The sequence below is a fragment of the Homo sapiens genome, chromosome 22 (assembly GCF_000001405.40).
Source record: "Homo sapiens chromosome 22, GRCh38.p14 Primary Assembly".
NCBI classification, from domain to species: domain Eukaryota; kingdom Metazoa; phylum Chordata; class Mammalia; order Primates; family Hominidae; genus Homo; species Homo sapiens.
In genome coordinates, this window is record NC_000022.11 from 40,427,674 (window position 1) to 40,448,380 (window position 20,707).

Here is a 20,707-nt window from a genome sequence, read left to right on the forward strand (position 1 = left end):
CCCTTGGAATTTCCTTAAGGTCAGAAGTATCTTCAGTTATGTATAACAAGCCCCTTTCCACAACACCTGAGCTTATGCTAATGTGATAATCTGGGAGAGACTAAGGATTGGGCCAGTCACCAGAGACACCAAGTGATTAGAGGATTAGAGGACTGGAAATATCAGCGCCATCCACCAACCTCCAGGAAAGTGGGGGTGGGTATGTAGGACATAGAGTGGGGGCTCTGAGATCAAGCTCTATAAAAACTCTTGGATAACAGGATTTGATGAGTTTCTCTAGCTACTGGGAGGGTGAAGGCCAGGAGAGGGCAGGGAAGTTCCAATACCACCATTCCCCCTGGCACCCCACGACACTGTGCCATCCGTCCCTCCCTCTGACTGTTCCTCTGCATCCTTTACAATAAGCCAGGAAATGTTAAGTGAAGTGTTTCCCCAGGTTCTGTGAGCCATCCTAGCAAATTATCAAGCCCAAGGAGAGGGTATGGGAACCCCAATCTATAGCTAGTTGGTTAAAAGCAAATGTAAAATAACCTGGGGCTTGGGACCAGCATGGGAAGTGGGGCTAAGTCTTGTGGGACTGAGTCCTCAACCTGTGGGATCAGACGCTATCTGCAGGTAAATGGCATCTGAAAAGAAATGGAGGACACCCAGCTGGTGTCCACTGGAGAACTGCTTGGTATGTGGGGTAATACCATGCCAGAATACCAACACCAGAAGTATTCTGTATTGAGTGTAAATACAGAGAAAAACGGCTTTTTCCCTTTTACACTAAAGGAATCAAGTCCAAACTCCCAAGTGTGCCAAGAGGCCCTGCACGTCCTGAACTGTGCTTACTGCTCCCACCTCGTTTTTGTTTTTGAGACAGGGTCTCACTCTATCACCCAGGCTAGAGTGCAGTGGCACAATCATAGCTCACTACGGCCTTGAACTCTTGGACGCAAGCGATCTTCCCACCTCAGCCTCCTGAGCAGCTGGGATTACAGGTGTGTGTTACCACACCCAGCTAATTTTTTGATTTTTTTTGTAGAGATGAGTCTCCCTATGTTGCATGTTGCCCAGGCTGGTCTCAAACTCCTGGGCTCAAGTGATCCTCCCGCCTCAGACTACCAAATCACTGAGGACCTGGCCTCCCACCTCTCATCTTGACACCCTCCCTTCCAGTGCCTTCTCATCAGGTCCTAGGGTTGTTCTCCCTGCCTGGAGCACCGTCCTCTCCTCCCTCGTCCCACCCTCTCCCACACGCTTTCATGAATTCCTACTCATCCTTCAGCCCCAGGCTTGGCTGTCACCTCCTCTGACAGCTGCACCCTTCCTGATGCAACCAGGTTGGGTGACCCTCCTCTGTGTTTCCAAAGTACCCTGTGCTCCCTCCAGCACAGCTTCTCTATCCTGCCTATTCACCTGCCTGTTACCTGCTCCTAGGCGTGAGCTCCATAAGGACAAAGGAACTTGGTCTGCCCTGTGGGGCTGTGGCCTTAGCACCTAGCACACTGTTTGGGTCCATCAGTATTTGTTAAGTGAAATATCCGTGGAAAGGGCCAGTCTCCAAGAAGAGACTTCACTAATAAAGAGTATGACACAGATTTCTAATTCCTGGCATCTCCACATGTTCACACACACTGATCCTGACATCTATCTACTCTGTGAAAGAGGAAGCAACCCGAGTTTACAAAGATGGAAAGTGAACAGAGCAAGGCCTCTGTTATTATTTATTGTTGTATGTCCCTGTTTCTTAAAGCAACAGGCACTATCCCAAGTTCATACAACCTGTGCATGAGGCTCTCAAACTCTGTGCCTTGGTTCTCCCAAGGCTAAGCAGGAAGTCAAAGATTAAGAAGTCAAGAGCCTCAGCCCAATTCTGCTTCAGCCTGGCACTCCCTCCCCTCCTGCATCTCAGCTGCCTCTCACACAGGGTGGCTGGGTCCTCCTCACCAATGATGGCTTCCTTCAGGCTGGACTCAACAGGAAGGATGTTCTTCTCCACCAGCTCCATGGGGCCAGGCCTCTGTGCAATCTTCTCATTGAGGTCATCGGCTAGTCTGGCTCTCTTCAGCTTCAGCTGCTTGGCCTGGAGGGATGGCTCAGCCGAGGTCTCTGCCCATGGGAGAGAAAGGGGTGCAGGAAGATATATGAGTGGACGTGGTTCTGCCCCGGGAACTCCAGAGCAGCTCTCCTTCCTCCTGGGCAAGAGGAGTGACTGTCAGAACGGTAAGCATATTCCAAGCAGAGAAGAGTGGCCTGTCTTGAAGTTTCACAAAGACAAGAGAAGGGGTTCCCACTGTGACCAGGCAGTGCACAGTCACACACAATTATAACCAGGCAGAGGCAAACCCAGAAGACTTTCTGAGGTGGAGCTACAGAATGGAAGCAGCAACAGATGACAGAATGGTCTCCACTCTCCCTCAAACTTGCTGTGTTACTGAGGCAATTCACATCTCTGCTCTGGTTTTTAGTGCCTTTGTCTGCAAAATGTGAGACTCAGACTAGAAAAGTTCTCTTCCAGCCCCAAAAACAGCTCAAAACTAGACAAACGGCTGGGCGTGGTGGCTCACGCTTGTAATCCCAGCACTTTGGGAGGCCAAGGCATGTGGATCACCTGAGGTCAGGAGTTCGAGACCAGCCTGATCAATATGGTGAAACTCTGTCTGTACTAAAAATACAAAAATTAGCCAGGCGTGGTGGCATGTGCCTGTAGTCCCAGCGACTCGGAAGGCTGAGACAGGAGAATTGCTTGAGCCCAGGAGGTGGAGGCTGCAGTGAGCCGAGACTGTGCCACTGCACACTAGCCTGGTGACACAGCAAGACTCCATCTCAAAAAAAAAAGACTAGACAAACAATAAGTAAATATATTTATGCTGCTTCCAGGAGCCAAAACCTTTTCTTCACTAAAAATGTGGAAAGACAGCTATGCGCAGTGGCTCACATCTGTAACCACAGCACTTTGGGAGGCCGAGGTGGGTGGATCACCTGAGGTCAGGAGTTCGAGACCAGCCTGGCCAACATGGTGAAACCCCATCTCTACTAAAAATATAAAATATTAGCTGGGTGTGGTGGCGCTCGTCTGTAATCCCAGCTATTCAAGAGGCTGAGGCAGGAGAATCGCTTGAACCTGGAAGATAAGAGGTTGCAGTGAGCCATGATCACACTACTGCACTCCAGCCTGAGCAGCAGAGCAAGACTCCATCACAAAAAAAAAAAAAAAAAAAAAGCGGGGGAAGAAAAAAAAAAGGGAAAGACATGTGCAGCTGGGGCCAGGTGGGTACATCTAGAATAATATTGGATGGAGCACGGTATATCACAGACACTCAAGTGAATGCCAAGTGAATGACTGACCGAATGAATGAATATAAAAAACTAAGTAAGTGTATTTTAAAAACAGATTTTAGATCAGGCATGGTGGCTTGTGCCTACAATCACAATGACAGAGTCAGACTGTGTCTTAAACAAAACAAAACAGATTTTGGCAGAGAGAAGCGATCTCACACCAAGGGATGGTGAGACCCTGGAGAAGAGGCCAAGCCAAACTAACAGCATGTGACTGTGCTTTTTGAGAGTCCCTCAGACCAGTGGCAGCTACCATGGCACAGCTGTCGTACGGTGTTAAGGCTCTGGCTTACCCACTGCCAACAGAAATGGGAGAAGAAAGAGGCAGGAAGGAAATGGGTAGTGCAGTAGTGAGTACACACAGTGAGAACTGGATCTAGATGGAAAAGCAATTCCAATCTCCACACCTTCCAAAATGTGCATCCTGACCAGCTCCGATCTCTCCGGCCGGGAACGAATCTTCCGTTTGAGATAGTCCTCTGTCTACAGAAAAAACACACCAAGAAACTCTCAAATCCAGGTCACAGGCTTATGGCATGGACAGGATCACAACAGCAGCCTTGGCCATGGTAGCTGCTGACCACCTCTGCAGTTCCCACAACCTTAACTTGGTGACTGCAGGGTTCGGAGGCAAGAGTAGGCCTGGGGAGAGCACACCAAAATCCAACTGCACCTGCCAAGGAAGGGCACCATCCTTCAAGACCATCTGTGTCTCTGAGGCTGGACTGACAATATATCTATTAAAAAACTATTACTTCTACTACCATAAAAGTAATATATGTCCAGCAAAAAACATTTAGAAAACTAGAAAGAAAAATAAAATAAAATAAACTTTAATCAGCCACTCTTAGTATTCTGGGATATCTGTTTCTAGTTATTCTTCCATGCAGAAAATAGGCTTAACTTTGCAGCGCTGTAATCACACTGAATATGATTTTATATCCTGCTTTAAGAAATGTAACATTGGGCCAGGCACGGTGGCTCAAGCCTGTAATCCCAGCACTTTGGGAGGCCAAGGTGGGTGGATCACCTGAGGTCAGGAGTTTGAGACCAGCCTGGCCAATGTGGTGAAACCCTGTCTCTACTAAAAATACAAAAATTAGCCAGATGTGGTGGCTGGCGCCTGTAATCCCAGCTACTTGGGAGGCTGAAGCAGGAGAATCACTTGAACTCGTGAGGTGGAGGCTGCAGTGAGCCAAGACTGCGCCACTGCACTCCAGCCTGGGCAACAAGAGCGAAACTCCGTCTCAAAAAACAAACAAAAAAAACCAAAAACCAAAAAAAAACCCCAAAAACCTGTAACACTGCATGATCTCATGGGCATTTTCCATTCATTTTGAATGGCTGCCAAATGGAATATGAATTTTGACACATGGTAGCAAAGCTCTAGTTCCTCAAAGTCCAATGTCCTAATTTCTGCATTTATGAGACTCTGGGCAAACTAAACCAGTCCCTCAACAGTCACAGAGCCATCCCACCAAACGGGGCTAATTATAATATATATATATTCCCCTGGACCTGACTCTATAGAGTCTGTGCTCTTAACCTCTGCACCAACATTTTCAAACCACAGAACATTAGTGGATCAAGACCAGCATAGGATAAGACAAGCCAAAGGACACTAGGCAATGAAGCCTCAGAGGACATTATATATAGTAAAGGTAAAGACTGGAAAAAAATGAAGAAAAAGAAAAAAAAAAAAAGACTTGTCCTCACCTAGCCATCTGCTGCCTTGTTGTTCTGGCTGGGCAGCTCTGTGCCAGCCCAGGGGAGGCTGAGCAATCCAGGAGATGGTTTAAAGTGACTGTGGGCTCTGGCTCTATCACCCCACGTGCAGTGGGCAGAAGTACTGCCTCAGCTGCAGCAGAGATTGGTAGAGCAGGTGCCGCAAGTCTTCACAGATGACAGTGGAAGACTTATTCTCTAAGCCATCTGAAGCTCTGACCAGTGGCCATGACTGAGGTAGAATATAGTACTGATTAAGAAAATATATGGAGGAGCTTCTGGTTTGTTAAAGGCATGGAGGTGCTAGGAGGGTGACACACCCACCTGGAGAGAGCACAAAAGCTCCTCATCCCTTCCCACATACCTACACATCTCTTCCACCTGGCTGTTCCTGAGTTGTATCCTTTGTGACAAATAGTAAACATATTAATGATGTCAAATGGCTGAAACCTGACTACCTAGAGGCTACTCTGGACTGGTTTAGAGGGTATAAGGTCTCTGATGGAAAACCAGAGAACTTTCAGGGCCAAATTTAAAGATACGGATTTTGCAACTGATATCATTAAAGGCATTCATGACCACTGAAGCACATTTGTGTCGAAGAAAACTGAGGGAACAAAATCAGTTTGACAAGGTACAGTGGTAGATGCCTACACATCCCAGCTATTCAGGAGGTCAAAGGCAGAAGGATTGCTTAAGCCCAAGAGTTGGGATTCAGCCTGGGCAACATAGCAAAATCCCACCTCTAAAATTACAAAAAAAGGAAAACAAAGCAATCAGTTGTGTAAATACAACAGCATCTCAGAGCCCCTCAAGTGTGATCCTGACATAGCTGAAGCCATTGTGGATGCTTTCCCACCACCATGTATAGCTGCCTTATGTAGCACGCACAGATGTGAGCAGCTGGTTCCAACACCAGAAAAAGAAATGAAACTTCTCTTGAATACGAGCTGATATTGCTGTGTCTTATTCATCTGGAAGTATGAGATGCAAAAGTAGCAGCTTTTCAAAGCTTTAAGCTTTTAGAATTAAGTAAAGCAAATTCTGCTATAACCAATCCAATATATTCATGTTTCATATCTCAACTAAGATAATTTTTAGTACATGTGTAAATATGGAAGTAGTTATTGTAATGTGGAAGTCATTTGTGAATAGATGTGCATGGTAAGCAAATTGAACGTTATGGTTACCATGTGTTAGGAAATAAAATCATTTTGCTCAAAAAAAATCTAGAATCCACAAAGGTTTGACTCCCAGCTTTGCCACTTATTGGCTGGACAAGTGAGTTAACTTCTCTTAGCTGCATCTATAAAATGAGGATAATACCACCTAATTCATAAGAGTTGATGTGAGGATAAAAAAGAAACAGATACAACCTCTTACATAAAGGTGCTCAATAAAACAGTCTCTTCTAATCAGCTCTGCTGGTCCCTGCCTATTTGAGAAGCAGTCAAGTAAATGGTGCCCAGTCTTCTGACCGAATAGGCGCACAGGCAACGCCATCCTTTCCCCCAACACTGTACTCTCCAGTGCTCTCAGCAAACTAAACCACTGCTGCTTGTTACTCCTTTGGTTCCCAGGACCCATGACCTCATTCTTTCCACTTACTCTAAGAATTAATCATGATTTTCTGGGGAGAGGGGAATGAAAGAAAGTTTAAAAAAAAAAAAAAAAAGTCTTGGAGGTAAATATTTCTGAGACTCTAAAATAGCTGTGAGGCTGGGTGTGGTGGCTCATGCCTGTAATCCCAGGACTTTGGAAGGGCAAGGCAGGCAGATCACTTGAGGCCAAGAGTTTGAGACCAGGCTGGCCAACATGGTGAAACCCCATCTCTACTAAAAATACAAAAATTACCCAGGCGTGGTGGCGGGAGCCTGTAGGTCCAGTTACTTGGGAGGCTGAGGCAGGAGAATCGCTTGAATCTGGTAGGCGGAGGCTGCGGTGAACTGAGATCACGCCACTGCACTCCAGCCTGGGTGACAGAGTGAGACTCCGTCTCAAAAAATAAAGTAAAATAAAATAGCCGTGGGTCTTAAGGAGATGCAGCCCATGATCTGTCTAGGGGGATTATCTTCCCATGATTTTATGTGAAAGGAAAAAGTAAAGGGAGTGTGAGGGGGAAGCAAGTTCTGGTGACTTCCCCATCTCTACCCACACTGGGCAGCAGAATATTCCTCAGGGGCCCCTGGGGAACCGAAACAGAGTTGGGATGGGGACGCAAGTAAGGTGCTGTGGCAGAAAACTTGGGCTTGGAGTGTGGGCCAGTTTCTGCTTTCCACAAGAGTCAAGTGGATACCACCTACTCTGGGCAGATGGAGACCAAGAAGGTTTCCTGCCCCTTGGAATGCCCGTCCTGTGAGGTGTGGCCAGTGTAACCCCGGACTTGGGAAGCTTTTCCATTGGCTAATGTTTGTGTCCCAACATCTACAAAACGTTAAGTGGAATTAAAGATGGGGAAATACCAGTGGTCTCCAAAGCACTCCAAAATTCAGGCAAGGAGGATCGGGTGATCATTCCATATCCTTAAATGTACAAAAAGAGAAACCTCATTCCAATCATGTTCCATATAATCACCATGGGAGGTAAATGAGAGAAGGGATGAAGTAGGAGAAGCAGAGCTTTCCATTTAAAACCACAAGGCCAGGGCTGGCCCTAGAGTCTAGCAGGCTCTGGCCTCAGAGTTCTATGGAAAGCTCTAAATGGAAATATAACCAGCAATGCAATGAGCTCTGAAAATGCTCTTTGGGAGTTCTGAGGGGGAAAAAAGGTACCTTACCCTGGCCCGCTCCAAGCTCCTTCTCTGCTCATGAAATGCGGCTGGACTTTTCAAAGCTGTTGAGAGAAGAACCGTAAAGATTACCTTCAAGCGAAGCATCATGTCTAGTGCTACGATATTCAGTGGAGAAGGCATCTTAAATTCATGTTACTGGCTGGGCGTGGTGGCTCACGCCTGTAATCCCAACACTTTGGGAGGCTGAGGCAGGCAGATCACGAGGTCAGGAGATCGAGACCATCCTGGCTAACATGGTGAAACCCTGTCTCTACTAAAAATACAAAAAATTAGCCAGGCGTGGTGGTGGTGGGCGCCTGAAGTCCCAGCTACAAGGGAGGCTGAGGCAGGAGAATGGCGTGAACCTGGGAGGCAGAGCTTGCAGTAAGCCGAGATTGCGCCACTGCACTCTAGCCTGGGCAACAGAGCGAGAAACCGTCCCCCAAAAAAAAAAAAAAAAAATCACATTACTGTTAGTAGTACTATAAATATCAGTTGAAGTGAAGGCAATGACACCTGAGTAAGCATGTATCTTTATGGTTTAGCTACCCCATTCAAACAGTTTTGGTAGAAACCAAAATATGACTCCTAATGGGAACTGTCACTGCCTAAGCTTGGGCTATATAAAGTGCACCCATGGAATGTAACTTTAACAAACACCCTGGCCCATGACTGGACCGTCAGCCGCAAATCCCCCTTCAGCTAGGACTCCAAGAACGCCTGCTAGGCCTCACATTATTCTCAGGACACCTGCACACAGGAAGGGGCACAGATGCATGCCAAATTAACCTTACTTCCTCAACCTCACGAGGAATCATAAAGTGGCCAAACTGTTTCAATGGGACAGTTAAAACCAAAAAGATATATGTCCACTCGGCACTATTTCCTTCTTCACTGCACCTGTTATTTATAGTGCTGCTAAAATTAACTTGAATTTCATCTCTAAGGACTAAAAGAACCCCATGGCAATTGTATGTGAAGGAACACACACAACCGACAGCTGAGACGAAGGGCTCAGCTCTATTCTGGGGATACCACACAAAGACCACAAGTCTCGACTTCTGCAAACAACACTCAGGTGGCAAGACCAAACCAAGAGCCTCCAGAAAGGCTGCACCATGAATGGAAGGTCTGACTCCTTTTGTCAAAAACTTGGCTGTAAGGACAAATAGCAACTTAAGACACTCTGAGGATGAGAGGGAAAGGCCTGACTCACTTCAAGTAGGGAACAGAGGCAATAAGAGAGAAATTTATAAGACTGTGGTCAGTTTCACTTCTCCTGCCCTAGAATTTCCAAAGAGCTGTGAAACTGCGAGCAGAGATAACTTTTGCTAGGCTGCTGGCTGCGGTAGGAGTGCAGGGTTAAGGAGCTGCTAAAAGTAGCAAGAGAGCATAGATAGGACCCTATCCTGCCTGGGCCGTTGTGCTTCTTCCTCCTTCCTCTCCACCCCCAGCGGGGGGCTGGGCCTCAGCAACAGCAGTCCCAGAAGAAAGCTTCAATTGTCCCAGTGGTATTTATTTTTAAAAATTTTTTGTGAATCTTAAGATAAAAAAGAAACTACAGTCTTAAAAGTACTACTGAGATCCCATCTTCTAACAGAAGGGGGAGCTCTAGATTTAACAAATAACATCAAAGAAAAACCAGTACAAGTTACCTCCCCAACCTACCTGGGCACTATCCAGGATTCCCCACTTCTTACATGGGCAGGTCGTGGGCATTTCAGTGGGTAAATAGACACCCCCTGCACCTGCTTCTACTGTGTAACGCTAGCTCAACTCCAAACGTCCTGCTCTGCAGGAACCCGGGTGTGATGCATCACACGTAACCTTGGCTCTTGGAAAGCTTAGCACATGCATGAGACAGTAAGTACAAAGAATCAAGAGAAAACGGACACTGTCCACCCCACCCCAGCTTCCTTTTCTGCCTCATTTTTCTCCGCAGCACTCATCACTGTCTTGACAGTCTTTATATAAATACTACGTATCTGGCTGGGCATGGTGGCTCACGCCTGCAATCCCAGCACTTTGGGAAGCCGAGGTGGGCAGATCATGAGGTAAGGAGTTCGAGACGAGCCTGGCCAACATGGTGAAACCCCGTCTCTACTAAAAATACAAACATTTTTGTACAGGCATGGTAGAGGGTGCCTGTAATCCCAGCTACTCAGGAGACTGAGGCAGGAGAATCACTTGAACTCAGGAGGCAGAGGTTGCAGTGCGCCAAGATAGTGCCACTGCACTCCAGCCTGGGAGACAGAGCAAGACTCCGTCTCAAAAAAAAAAAAAAAAGGCGGAATACTACATACTTTTCTTGTTTACTCTCAGTCTCCCACGTTTACATTTACAACATGTCCCCATCAGAGCACAGCAAGGGTTTTGTCTATTTTTTTAGTCACTCACAGCATTCCCCAAGTGCCTAGAATACCAGGCACACAGTATACCCTCAATAATTATTCACTCGATGAATTAGTGAGTATTCTGTAAGAAACGGACACAAGGTGACTAGTGACAGGAGGACAGGAGGATTCTGCGGCAGAGCTCTAAACTTTCATCTAAACAGCCAGAATTCTGGTTCTCAACCGGGTTCGAAACCTCACAGAAGTTCTGGATAGACAGTCAAGGGATCTGTGTTCTAGTACTGAGTGCTACCAATTACTGCTGGGTGACATGGGTTTTGACTGCTTTCTGGGTCTAATTTTCTTCCAGAGTGAGAATCTGCCCACCTCTCAGAACCCTTGTAAGGAAGAAACACCAGTGAGAGTGCCCTGAACCAAATGGTATATGTGTCGATATATTCAGGTGTTGCTGTCACCAAATGCTGTAATTTGGTTGAATCACTGGCTTGATTCACTTACAGGCCAGCTAGTTTCTGTACCACAGCCAGAGATTCTCTGTCTAAAACCCTGGCTGACTTGCTGCCTCAACAACCCACACTGGCTATCCCCAAAGGGTAAGGCACAAACCCAAAGGCACAAACCCAACTTCTAGAAGAACAATTCACCAGAACATCTTGAGGACATCATCTTCATGTACAAAGGGTGGTGCACCACTAGTGGAGGACAGGTGATAGGTGAAATGGCTACAGCATACATAGTCCCCCTCATCTGCAGTTTCGCTTTCCATGGTTTCAGTTATTCTAGGCCAACCAAGGTCCAAAAATGTTACAGTATTTTGAGTGGGCCCATATTCACATAACTTTTATTACAGTGTATTGTTAAAATTGCTCTAATTTCTTACTATGTCAGATTTACACATCGAATTTTGTCATAGGTCACATGTATAGAAAAAAAAAACACAGTACGTATAGGATTTGGTACCATCTGCAGTTTCAGATATCCACTAGGGGGTCTTGGCACGTGTTCCTCAGGAATAAGGAAGGATTACTCTATATGAATTCCTATTTGGTCCTATTAAGGACATTTTCATGTAATGGCAAGAAAGGGATTAATATCTGTTGGATGCTTGTATGGAAAGCACTGTTCTAGATATTTTAAACCTGTTAGCTAATTTAATATTCCTAATCATTCTACATGGTAGGTAATATCCCATTTTATAGATAAGGACAGGGCCAAAAAGGAAAGGCAAGCAAATAGCAGGGATAAGATTATAACCTAATTTTTTTAAGTGTCCTGAATTGGAAGATATAACCTAATTCTGTAACACCCTCAACCTAGAGTTCTTTCCACTCCTCTGTGTTGATTTCTTAACTTCTTCAAAAGTTAGAGAAGAGAGGCTGGGCATGGTGGCTCAAGCCTGTAATCCTAGCACTTTGGGAGGCTGAGGCAGGTCTATCACCTGAGGTCAGGAGTTCAAGACCAGCCTGGCCAAAATGGCAAAACCATGTCTCTACTAAAATTACAGAAAAATTAGTCAGGCATGGTGGCAGGCACCTGTAATCCCAGCTACTTGGGAGGCTGAGGCAGGAGAATTACTTGAACCCAAGAGGCAGAAGTTGCAGTGAGCCAAAATTGCTCCATGGCACTCCAACCTGGGTGACAGAGCAAGACTCTGTCTCAAAAAAAAAAAAAAAAAAAAAAAAAAGAGACAGAAGAAAAGAAACTGTTGGGTAGGGGGACAAGGTAGCTTCAATGTTCAATGACACACACTGTTTAGATGCATATCTGAGTCCAGGCAACATACAAGAGTCAACTTGGCCACAGCACTAGGTAAAGACCAAGGCAAAGAAGGCTCAGAAGAGGGGTTCAGAGACCTGTCTGAGGGGCCCCAGGGCTCTCAAGCATTGAGAATCATCGTTCAAAACCTGGAGCTCACCACGTAACAGCCTTTGGCACTGATACTAGAAGACAAGTTGGAGAAGCTGAGACACAATAGCTGGTCAGAAGAACCAGAAACGAAGACCAAGAAAAGAATTCAAGATAGGGCCAGGTGCAGTGGATCATGCCTGTAATCCCAGCACTCTGGGAGGCTCAGGCAGGCAGATCACCTGAGGTCAGGAGTTCAGGACCAACCTGGCCAACATGACGAAAGCCCGTCTCTACTAAAAATACGAAAATTAGCTGGGTGTGGTGGCGGGCACCTGTAATGCCAACTACTCGGGAGGCTGAGGCACAACAATCGCTTGAAACTGGGAGGCGGAGGTTGCAGTGAACCAAGATTGCACCACTGCACTCCAGCCTGGGTGACAGAGTGAGACTCCGTCTCAAAAAAAAAAAAAAAAAAAAGAATTCAAGATCATAATGACCAATCCCAAAAGACTGTTTCATTTTATAGTAATAATAACATTATAATCTCACTGGATCCTCTTCATAGCCCATGAGGCAGGGACCGTTATTTCATGTGTGATGAAACTGACACTGGCTGAGATGCAGTAACCTGCCAGATCATTCATTCATCGAGTGGTGGACCCCAACCCAGGTCTAGTTCTGCCTTTCCTTTCTTCCCTTGTCTAAACCTTCTGACAAATGTGTCAGTTTCTCTCAGTCCCTGAGTAGGCCAGCTTAGTCTGTGCTCCTCTTTCCTCATTTTTAATTCTTCTCTCTGATAGCAGATTCAGCAATTTCAACAGCTACTTCTGCCAGGTGAAAGGAGGAGGGAGCACTGGCCCCTCTTCCTTCAGGTTTGTGTCAGGACTTCCTGCTGGGTGTCTCTCAGTTCATCTGGGGAGAGGCTGGAGTAGCCACAGCAAGTGCTCTTGGTGCACTGGGGTTTGAGGTGGAGAGGGCAACTCCTGTGTGTGTCCCGCCAGCTTTGTTAAAAGCCACCATGTGGAGGGTAGCCTAGTGAAGGGATGTAAGAGTGCTACAGGTTAAGCCCTGGGCTTTCTTGACTGTAGGAGCAAATGACAATGGGGAGTCAGATCACCTCAAGTTCCATGCCAAGGAGGTAAGACACGAGGAAGCAGAAAATAGGTTTCCAAGTTTAGGCCTCTGCCAATTGAAGAAAAAAAGGACTTAAAGTTACCCCATAAATGTGTGTCCAACTACGAGGGCTGCATTCATCTTAGACTCCATCTCCCCTCTCCCTGCTACCTTAATAGCTTTGCTAGGAGGAGCCAGCATATTACTCAAAACTGCATTTTCCCAGACACTCCAAGAAAGCAGTCTCTAGAAAGAGAAGCCCCCAAAGACCAATGCAAAGACAAGAGTCATGTGTGTTTATAAGAATATATATATTCAATATCAGAGGGTAGTTCTCGATCCTTTCCTGCTGCCCCAGGAGCTGGTTCCATTGGAGCTCTTGTGTGGCTTTGTGTGAACAAAGGAAGTGTGCAGAAAATCCTGAAAGGAAAAATAAGCAAGCTCCCCAGAGAAAACAAATGAACAGAAGTGGCCAAGAGGTGTGCCATTCTTAATCACAGTTTCAGTTCTAGATGTGGACCCCGCCCCTGGCTGGCTACAACTACCAATTAATATTTTGTTCCCTCTTTCCAGCACCCATTTTCTTTCTCTCCTAACTTGTTTGCTGCCTAAATTAAATGAGGTCATTTGTCAATTAAAGATATAAAAGGTGAAAAACTGTTTCCACTTAATTTTTAAATACATACTGGCATCCAGGCTGGGCGCAGTGGCTCACGCCCGTAATCCCAGCACTTTGGGAGGCCGAGGCAGGTGGATCACCTGAGGTCAGGAGTTCGAGACCAGCCTGGCCAACATGGTGAAACCACCCCCCACTACTAAAAATACAAAAATTAGCTGGGCGTGGTGGTGCGCGCCTATAATCCCAGCTACTCTGGAGGCTGAGGCAGGAGAAATGCTTAAACCTGGGAGGCGAAGGTTGCAGTGAGCCGAGACCGTGACACTGTACTCCAACCTGGGTGACAGAGCAAGACTCCATCTCGGGGGGAAAAAATATATACATGTATGTATGTGTATATATATATATACACACACACACACACACACACACTTTCACACAGGCATCCAATATATAGCAAAGGAGGAGCTCAGTGCTGTGCTCAGTGTGTCGACACAGATGTGTGATGACAGCGCAGGGGCCCCAGGGCCAGAATGGTCTTGATTTAATCTGGCACTGAAGAGTAAGTATGAAGACTCTTAAAAACCAACCTACCTTGGTAATTTAGGACATCAAGCCAACACTTTTCCCTTGCCAGCTCCAGATTTACTTAAACAAGTAGGTAAATGAGTCTTCTAGGATTCACAAGCAGTTCTAGAAATGCCTCTGAGCAAGGAATGACAACAATTCATTATGAAACCTCATTTCCTCATCACTATCATGAAGGAATATGTATTAAGTGTCTAGGTCTGAATGTTGCTTTATTAGGTGTTATCGTAATAAAAATGATGGTTCCTATCTCTGATAATACGCCAGAAGCTCACCAACAATTCTGTAACCAGAGGAACTCAAAGGCTATGAACATAATACACTTAATAGAGGTCACTGGAGTGCCACAGTCCAAGCAGCCCTTCTTTCAGGCAAGCCTGCTGGGTTTCTTTTTCCAGTGTGGAAGCAGGGAGCATATACACAGAACATCAATGAGGGCTACATGTGTGTATAGGAATAAACCCATTTAACAAACGAGGTAGAAACTAGAAATATTTCCATCCATCCATCCCTCCATCTGCCCGCCCACCCACCCATCCATCCATGTATCCAATAAGCAGCCCTTAAGTAAGCACTATGCCAGTCACTGAGGATAAGAATATACAGATGGGGTCCCAGTCCTCAAAAAGATGATGGTCTAGTGGGGAAAAGAGACAAATATAAGATGGAAGTAAAACAGTAGTGGTAATTTAAGGTGCTGTAAAGGACAAAAGAGGCAAAATTTAACCTGGGGGAACAGTGTGTAAATGAATTGAATAGGAACACCAAAGCCAGACAAGGAAGAGTGGGGAGATAGCTGAGGCTAAGGAAGAACTAGAACACAAACATGAAGGTATAAAAGAACAAGGCAAGCTCAAAGAACTACAAGTAGTTTGATATGGTTGAACCAAGGAATTCAAGTGAGGATAATGTGGCTAGAAGAATAAGCTGGGCCCACTCCATTAAGAACTTTAATGGGCTAGGCACAGTGGCTCACACCTGTAATCCCAGCACTTTGGGAGGCCGAGGTCGGGGGGGATCACTTGAGGTCAGGAGTTCGAAACCAGCCTGGCCAACATGGCAAAACCCCGTCTCTACTAAACAGACAAAAATTAGCCGGGTGTGGTTACGCACACCTGTAATCCCAACTCCTCAGGAGGCTGAGGCAGGAGAATTGCTTGAATCCAGGAGGCAGAGGTTGCAGTCAGCCAAGATCATGCCACTGCACTCTAGCCTGAGCGACACAGCAAGACTGTCTCAAAAAAAAACAAAAACAAAAACAAACAAAAAAAACTTAATGTACTACTGTAGAGGCTTCTGCTTCAGATGGGGTAGACATTTTTCTGTATTTTTGTCACTAAGTACTAGTTAAAACTCTGAACATTCTATATGAAACAAGCAAAAGTAGATACTGTAAGGTGGAGAGAACTAGCTAGGGACCATGGGACCCAAAAAAAGAGACATGGTGGTAAGTTCCCCACCCCCTCCCTTTTTTTTTCTGCTTCATATATCCAGGCTTAAAGCTGAAGATGTTGGCAACCCAAAAATGCCAATGGGTACAGACAAAAAAAAGCCCTAGCAAAATATGTTCTCTCTAGCCAAAGGATTAGGAAAGGGCAGCCCAGCACAACAGAAAACTTTTAGATACTTGTTCTACTCCAAATACCACAGAAAAAAATGGTGGTCTCATTCCCACCTCCCCCTAAAGGCCAAGTTAGGAATCTAGACTTCCATCCTTGCAAGGGTGTAATGAGATGCCCCAATACCCTTGGCTGGGGTGGTGTCAGAAAGGGCCAAGTAGGAAGCTGCTTTCATTCCCACCAGCCAGTAACAAACACCCCTCCCTATCTGGCATTCATAAGGCACCTCTCCCAGTCCCTGCTGGATGATGTCAGAGGAGGGCTGGTGGAGAGCCATGACTTTCGCCACTGCCCAGTGGTAACAGCATGCACCCCCACCATGGTGTGCATACAGACTACATTGGGAGCTGGAACTCTCGCCCCGAATGAGAAGTCCCTCTCCTACCACCAACTCAGATGTCAGTGGCTGCCAAATGAGGAACCTGAACTTCTATTTCCACCTGGTCATAACGAGATGGCACCATCCCCACCTTCCCTACTGAACCAGATTCAAAGGGTCAGCTAAAACAGGAAAGAACATACAGAGACTCCTAACATATTACAAACATATTACAGCAGAATAAAGGAGACAAAGGAAAGATTCGGTGAACCAGAATACAGAATAGAAATACCTAATCTGAACAACAGAAAGAAAAGAGACTGGAGAAGGGAAATAAAAGAACAGAGCCCCAGGAGCCTGTGAGACTTTAATAAAAAATCTAACATTGTGTCACAGAAGTGATGAAAGAGAGGAAAAAGAGGGTGGGGCTGAAACAGTTCTTACATTAATTGCCGAAAACTTCCCAAATTTGGCAAGATATGTAAGTCTACAGATTCAACAAGCCAAGTTAAACCCCAAATAAGATAACTGGAAAAAAATTTATAGTAACATAAGCCATAATTAAACTTTGGAAAACTAAAAGAAAAAATCTTTACAGTCAGAGAAAAACAATTTGAATGACAGCGTATTTCTCATCAGAAACCATGGAGCCCAAAGGAAATGGCACGATATTTCTCACGTGCTATTAAGGATTGCATCCTGAGATCGACGTGTAGCCACCACATTCATCAGAGAAGGGATATGTGGCAAGGGAAGGATATAATCAGAACTGCATGGAGGTGGGCAGGGGAGTTGCTTCTGACTTGATGTTTTATGTTTTAAAAAAAAAAAATGAGGGCCTGGTGCAGTGGCTCACACCTGTAACCCCAGCACCCTGGCAGGCCAAGGCCAGTGGATCACTTGAGGCCAGGAGTTTGGCACCAGCTTGGGCAATGTGGCGGCACCCACTCTACAGAAAAATTTAAAAACTAGTCAGGCATGGTGGCAATCACCTGTAGTCCCAGCTACTTGGGAGGCTGAGATGGAAGAATCGCCTGAGCTGGGGAGGTCCAGGCTGCAGTGAGCCGTGATCACACCACTACACTCCAGCCTGGGCAACAGAATAAGAGCCTGTCTCAAATAAATAAATAAAAATTATCAAGAATACACCTGGTGACTGCCATATATTAATTTCATTACCCCCAACATACACACTCTCACAACTCCCTTCCCTCCCTCAATTTTGCACTTTTCAAACCTACAGAAACACTGAAAGAACAAATAATGAACAGCTTTATAACTCTGACCTAGATTGACCAGTTATCTTTTAGCCATATTTATTCTCTTTCTCTCATATACCGTAATTTTCTTCACTTATGGAATCACTTGAAAGTTGCAGATATCAGTTATGACATTTTACCCCTAAATTCTTCAGTGTGCATTTCCTAAGAATAAGGACATTTTCTTACATAACTAAGATACTTTTATCGCACCTGAAAAAATTAATTCAATATAACCTACAGTCCATATCTGAATTTCCTCAATTGCCTCCAAAATGTTCTTTTATAGCTGTTTAGATTTTTCCCCCAAGCCAAGGGGTTTTTTTTTGTTTTGTTTTGTTTTTGAGACGGAGTCTTGCTCTGTTGCCCAGGCTGGAGTGCAATGGCACAATCTCGATGGCGCAATCTCGGCTCACTGCAACCTCCACCTCCTGGGATCAAGCCATTCTCCTGCCTCAGCCTCCTGAGTAGCTGGGATTACAGGTACCCACCACCATGCCCGGCTAATTTTCTGTATTTTTAGTAAAGACGGGGTTTCACCGTGTTGGTCAGGCTGGTCTTGAACTCCTCACCTCGTGATCCACCTGCCTTGGCCTCCCAAATTGCTGGGATTACAGGCGTGAGCCACCACACCTGGTCCCAAGATTTAATCAAGAATCATGCACTGCATTTGGTTGTTGTCAATTTGGTCACAATCTAGAACAGTACCCCTACCTTTTTCATTTTCATGACACTGACTTAAGTATCTAAGCTGTTTGTCTTGCACAATGTTCTGTATTCTAAATTTGCTTCCTCATGATTAGATTTAGGTTAAACATTTTTGGCAAGAAGAAAACATAGGTATATGTACTTCTTAACATCAAGGGGCATATGTTATCAGGCTGTATAACCAGTGATGGTGCTAAAAGTTTGAAAGGTGACACCAGATCTGTCTTTGTAATTAACACATAATCTATGGGGTATCATTTTGATGCCACGTGAAAATCCTGTTTTCCCACAACTAACTGCCTAATAACAGTTTTAGCATCTACTGATGATCCTTGTCTGAACTGATTTTTACAAAATTGATTTTTTCAATAAAATTGCAAAATAGCAAGGACTGCATTTTTATGATCACTCTAGTAATGTTCAAGAGGCCACTTAAAAGAACAAATTGGAGTGACTGGGTGAATGGTTGTGCTATTAACACTCCTGGACAGGTGATCCAGGGCGAGTAAACTTAGGGAAGTGGGGGAGAAACTGTGTTCTGTCTTGGAGAATCACAGAACTCAAGGACAGGCATGAAGAGAGCCCACCCAGCACAGGAATCTGAGGAGGGCCACAGAGGCAGGAGGGGAGGAGGCAAAGCTATTACCCCAAGTAAGCTTCAAGAAAAAGCCTGTAGACAGAAAGACAGAGAGACACTAACAGTGGGGAAGTCAGGCAAAATAAGGCTTATAAAGTTTCCAGAGAATCACTTATGCTTAGGACATAGCCAGTGGTCTCAGAGCTATGCCAGTGGATTGGTGGAAGCACAAACTTACTGCAACAGATTAAAGAGTGAATAAGAAGTGAGAAAGTGGAGTCAGAGGTATGTGTCCCCTAAGAGGTTACTTACAGATGTGCTAACAGTTCATTACTCATTCATTCTTCCAATAAATATCTGCGAGCCTACATGTGTCGGACCCTGTTTTAGTGTTGGGTTATTCATGTTTTCGTGGAGCTTATACTTAATTGAAGAAAGATATACATAAAACAAACATGTAACACAGTAGGAGGCAGTATATGCTATGAAGAACTATAAAGCAAGTTATAAGTGACAGTGATGGGGTGAGGTCATTTTATATGGAGTGGTCAGGGAAAGACTTTCTGATAAGGTGACATTTGGCTGGGGGTGGCAGCTCATGCCTGTAATCCTAGCACTTTGGGAGGCCAAGGCAAGCAGATCGCTTGAGGTCAGAAGTTCAAGACCAGCCTGGGCAATATAGTGAAACTCCGTCTCTATGAAAAATACAAAAATTAGGCATGGTGGCGCGCACCTGTAGTCCGATCTATTTGGGGGAGCCGAGGCAGGAGGACTGTTTGAGGCCAGGAGGTTGAGGCTGTGATGAGCTAAGACTGAGCCACTGCTCTCCAGCCTAAGTAACAGAGTCTTTGTTTCAAAAAAAAAAAAGAAAAAAGAAAAAAAAAGTGACATTGGAGGAGAGATGTAAAAAAAGGGAGTGAGCCCTGCAGTCCTCTGGGAGACAGCCCTCCAAGCAGAGAACAGCATGTGGAAAGGCTCTCAGTGGGATCCTGCCTGCATGGCATCAAGGAGGCCAGGGTGGCAGAAAACAAGAAGAGTGGGTGGAAACACAGGGAGACAAAGCCACACAGGACCCTGTAAAACTGTGAACTATAATGAGAAGAAATAAAGTAGAATGGTGCCTGCGAACCTTGACACTGACAAAAAGGCTTCTGAGGTAACATAAATAAACAGGTTTGCTGAAAATGGTCTCCTTGTTTTCCCCAATAACCTCCACAATGTGTTAGAAATTACCTCACTTCAGCTTCTCAGTACTTACTATTTTCCACATTTTACAGTTGGGAAATGACTTTCCTGAGATCACATCCTAATCAACTACAGAATGAACACTAGACTCTGGTTCTTTTGATTCCAAATCTTTTTATTTACATATATTTCATCAAGAGGTGGCAGAAGGTAAAGGAGTATAGAAAACGAAGTGTGTGATATGCCCGGTGTGGTTGTAATTCCAACACTTTGGGAGGCCAAGGAGGGCATATTGCTTGAGCCCAGGAGTTCAAGCTAGCGAGACCCCATCTCTACAAAAAAATTAGCTGGGGCTGGGCGTGGTGGCTCACGCCTGTAATCCCAACACTTTGGGAGTACGAGGTGGGCGGATCACGAGGTCAAGAGATCAAGAGCATCCTGGCCAACACGGTGAAACCCCATCTCTACTAAAAATACAAAAATCAGCTGGGTGTGACGGTGCACGCCTGTAATCCCAGCTGCTCGGGAGGCTGAGGCAGGAGAATCGCTTGAACCCGGGTAGCGGAGGTTGCAGCGAGCCAAGATCACACCACTGCACTCCAGCCTGGGCAACAGAGCGAGACTCTGTCTCAAAAAAATAAATAAATTAGCTGGGTGTGGTGGCACACCCCTGTGATCCCAGCTACTCGGGAGGCTGAGGTG

The 20,707-nt window shown here is 45.5% G+C and overlaps 1 protein-coding gene across 5 annotated transcripts in view, besides 4 other annotated features; it reads right to left on the bottom strand.

The window, feature by feature from the left end:
- The window catches only part of MRTFA (myocardin related transcription factor A), a 226,431-nt gene that overhangs the window by 17,385 nt on the left and 188,339 nt on the right, over nt 1–20,707 (bottom strand). For all 5 annotated transcript variants that reach the window (NM_001282661.3, NM_020831.6, NM_001282662.3 and 2 more), the window contains 3 exons: nt 7,826–7,881; nt 3,732–3,807; nt 1,933–2,094 (listed from right to left, as the gene is read on the bottom strand). In NM_001282661.3, coding sequence (NP_001269590.2) covers nt 1,933–2,094; nt 3,732–3,807; nt 7,826–7,881 — 294 coding nt within the window. The remainder of the gene's footprint in view (nt 1–1,932; nt 2,095–3,731; nt 3,808–7,825; nt 7,882–20,707) is intronic.
- Nucleotides 8,618–8,677: an enhancer, noted in NCBI's record as "active region_19089". NCBI's record gives its function as "activates an Ori minimal core promoter by ATAC-STARR-seq in GM12878 lymphoblastoid cells {active_cell/tissue: GM12878}" and the evidence as "EXISTENCE:reporter gene assay evidence [ECO:0000049][PMID:35858748]".
- Nucleotides 8,938–9,067: an enhancer, noted in NCBI's record as "active region_19090". NCBI's record gives its function as "activates an Ori minimal core promoter by ATAC-STARR-seq in GM12878 lymphoblastoid cells {active_cell/tissue: GM12878}" and the evidence as "EXISTENCE:reporter gene assay evidence [ECO:0000049][PMID:35858748]".
- Nucleotides 9,188–9,237: an enhancer, noted in NCBI's record as "active region_19091". NCBI's record gives its function as "activates an Ori minimal core promoter by ATAC-STARR-seq in GM12878 lymphoblastoid cells {active_cell/tissue: GM12878}" and the evidence as "EXISTENCE:reporter gene assay evidence [ECO:0000049][PMID:35858748]".
- Nucleotides 9,308–9,357: an enhancer, noted in NCBI's record as "active region_19092". NCBI's record gives its function as "activates an Ori minimal core promoter by ATAC-STARR-seq in GM12878 lymphoblastoid cells {active_cell/tissue: GM12878}" and the evidence as "EXISTENCE:reporter gene assay evidence [ECO:0000049][PMID:35858748]".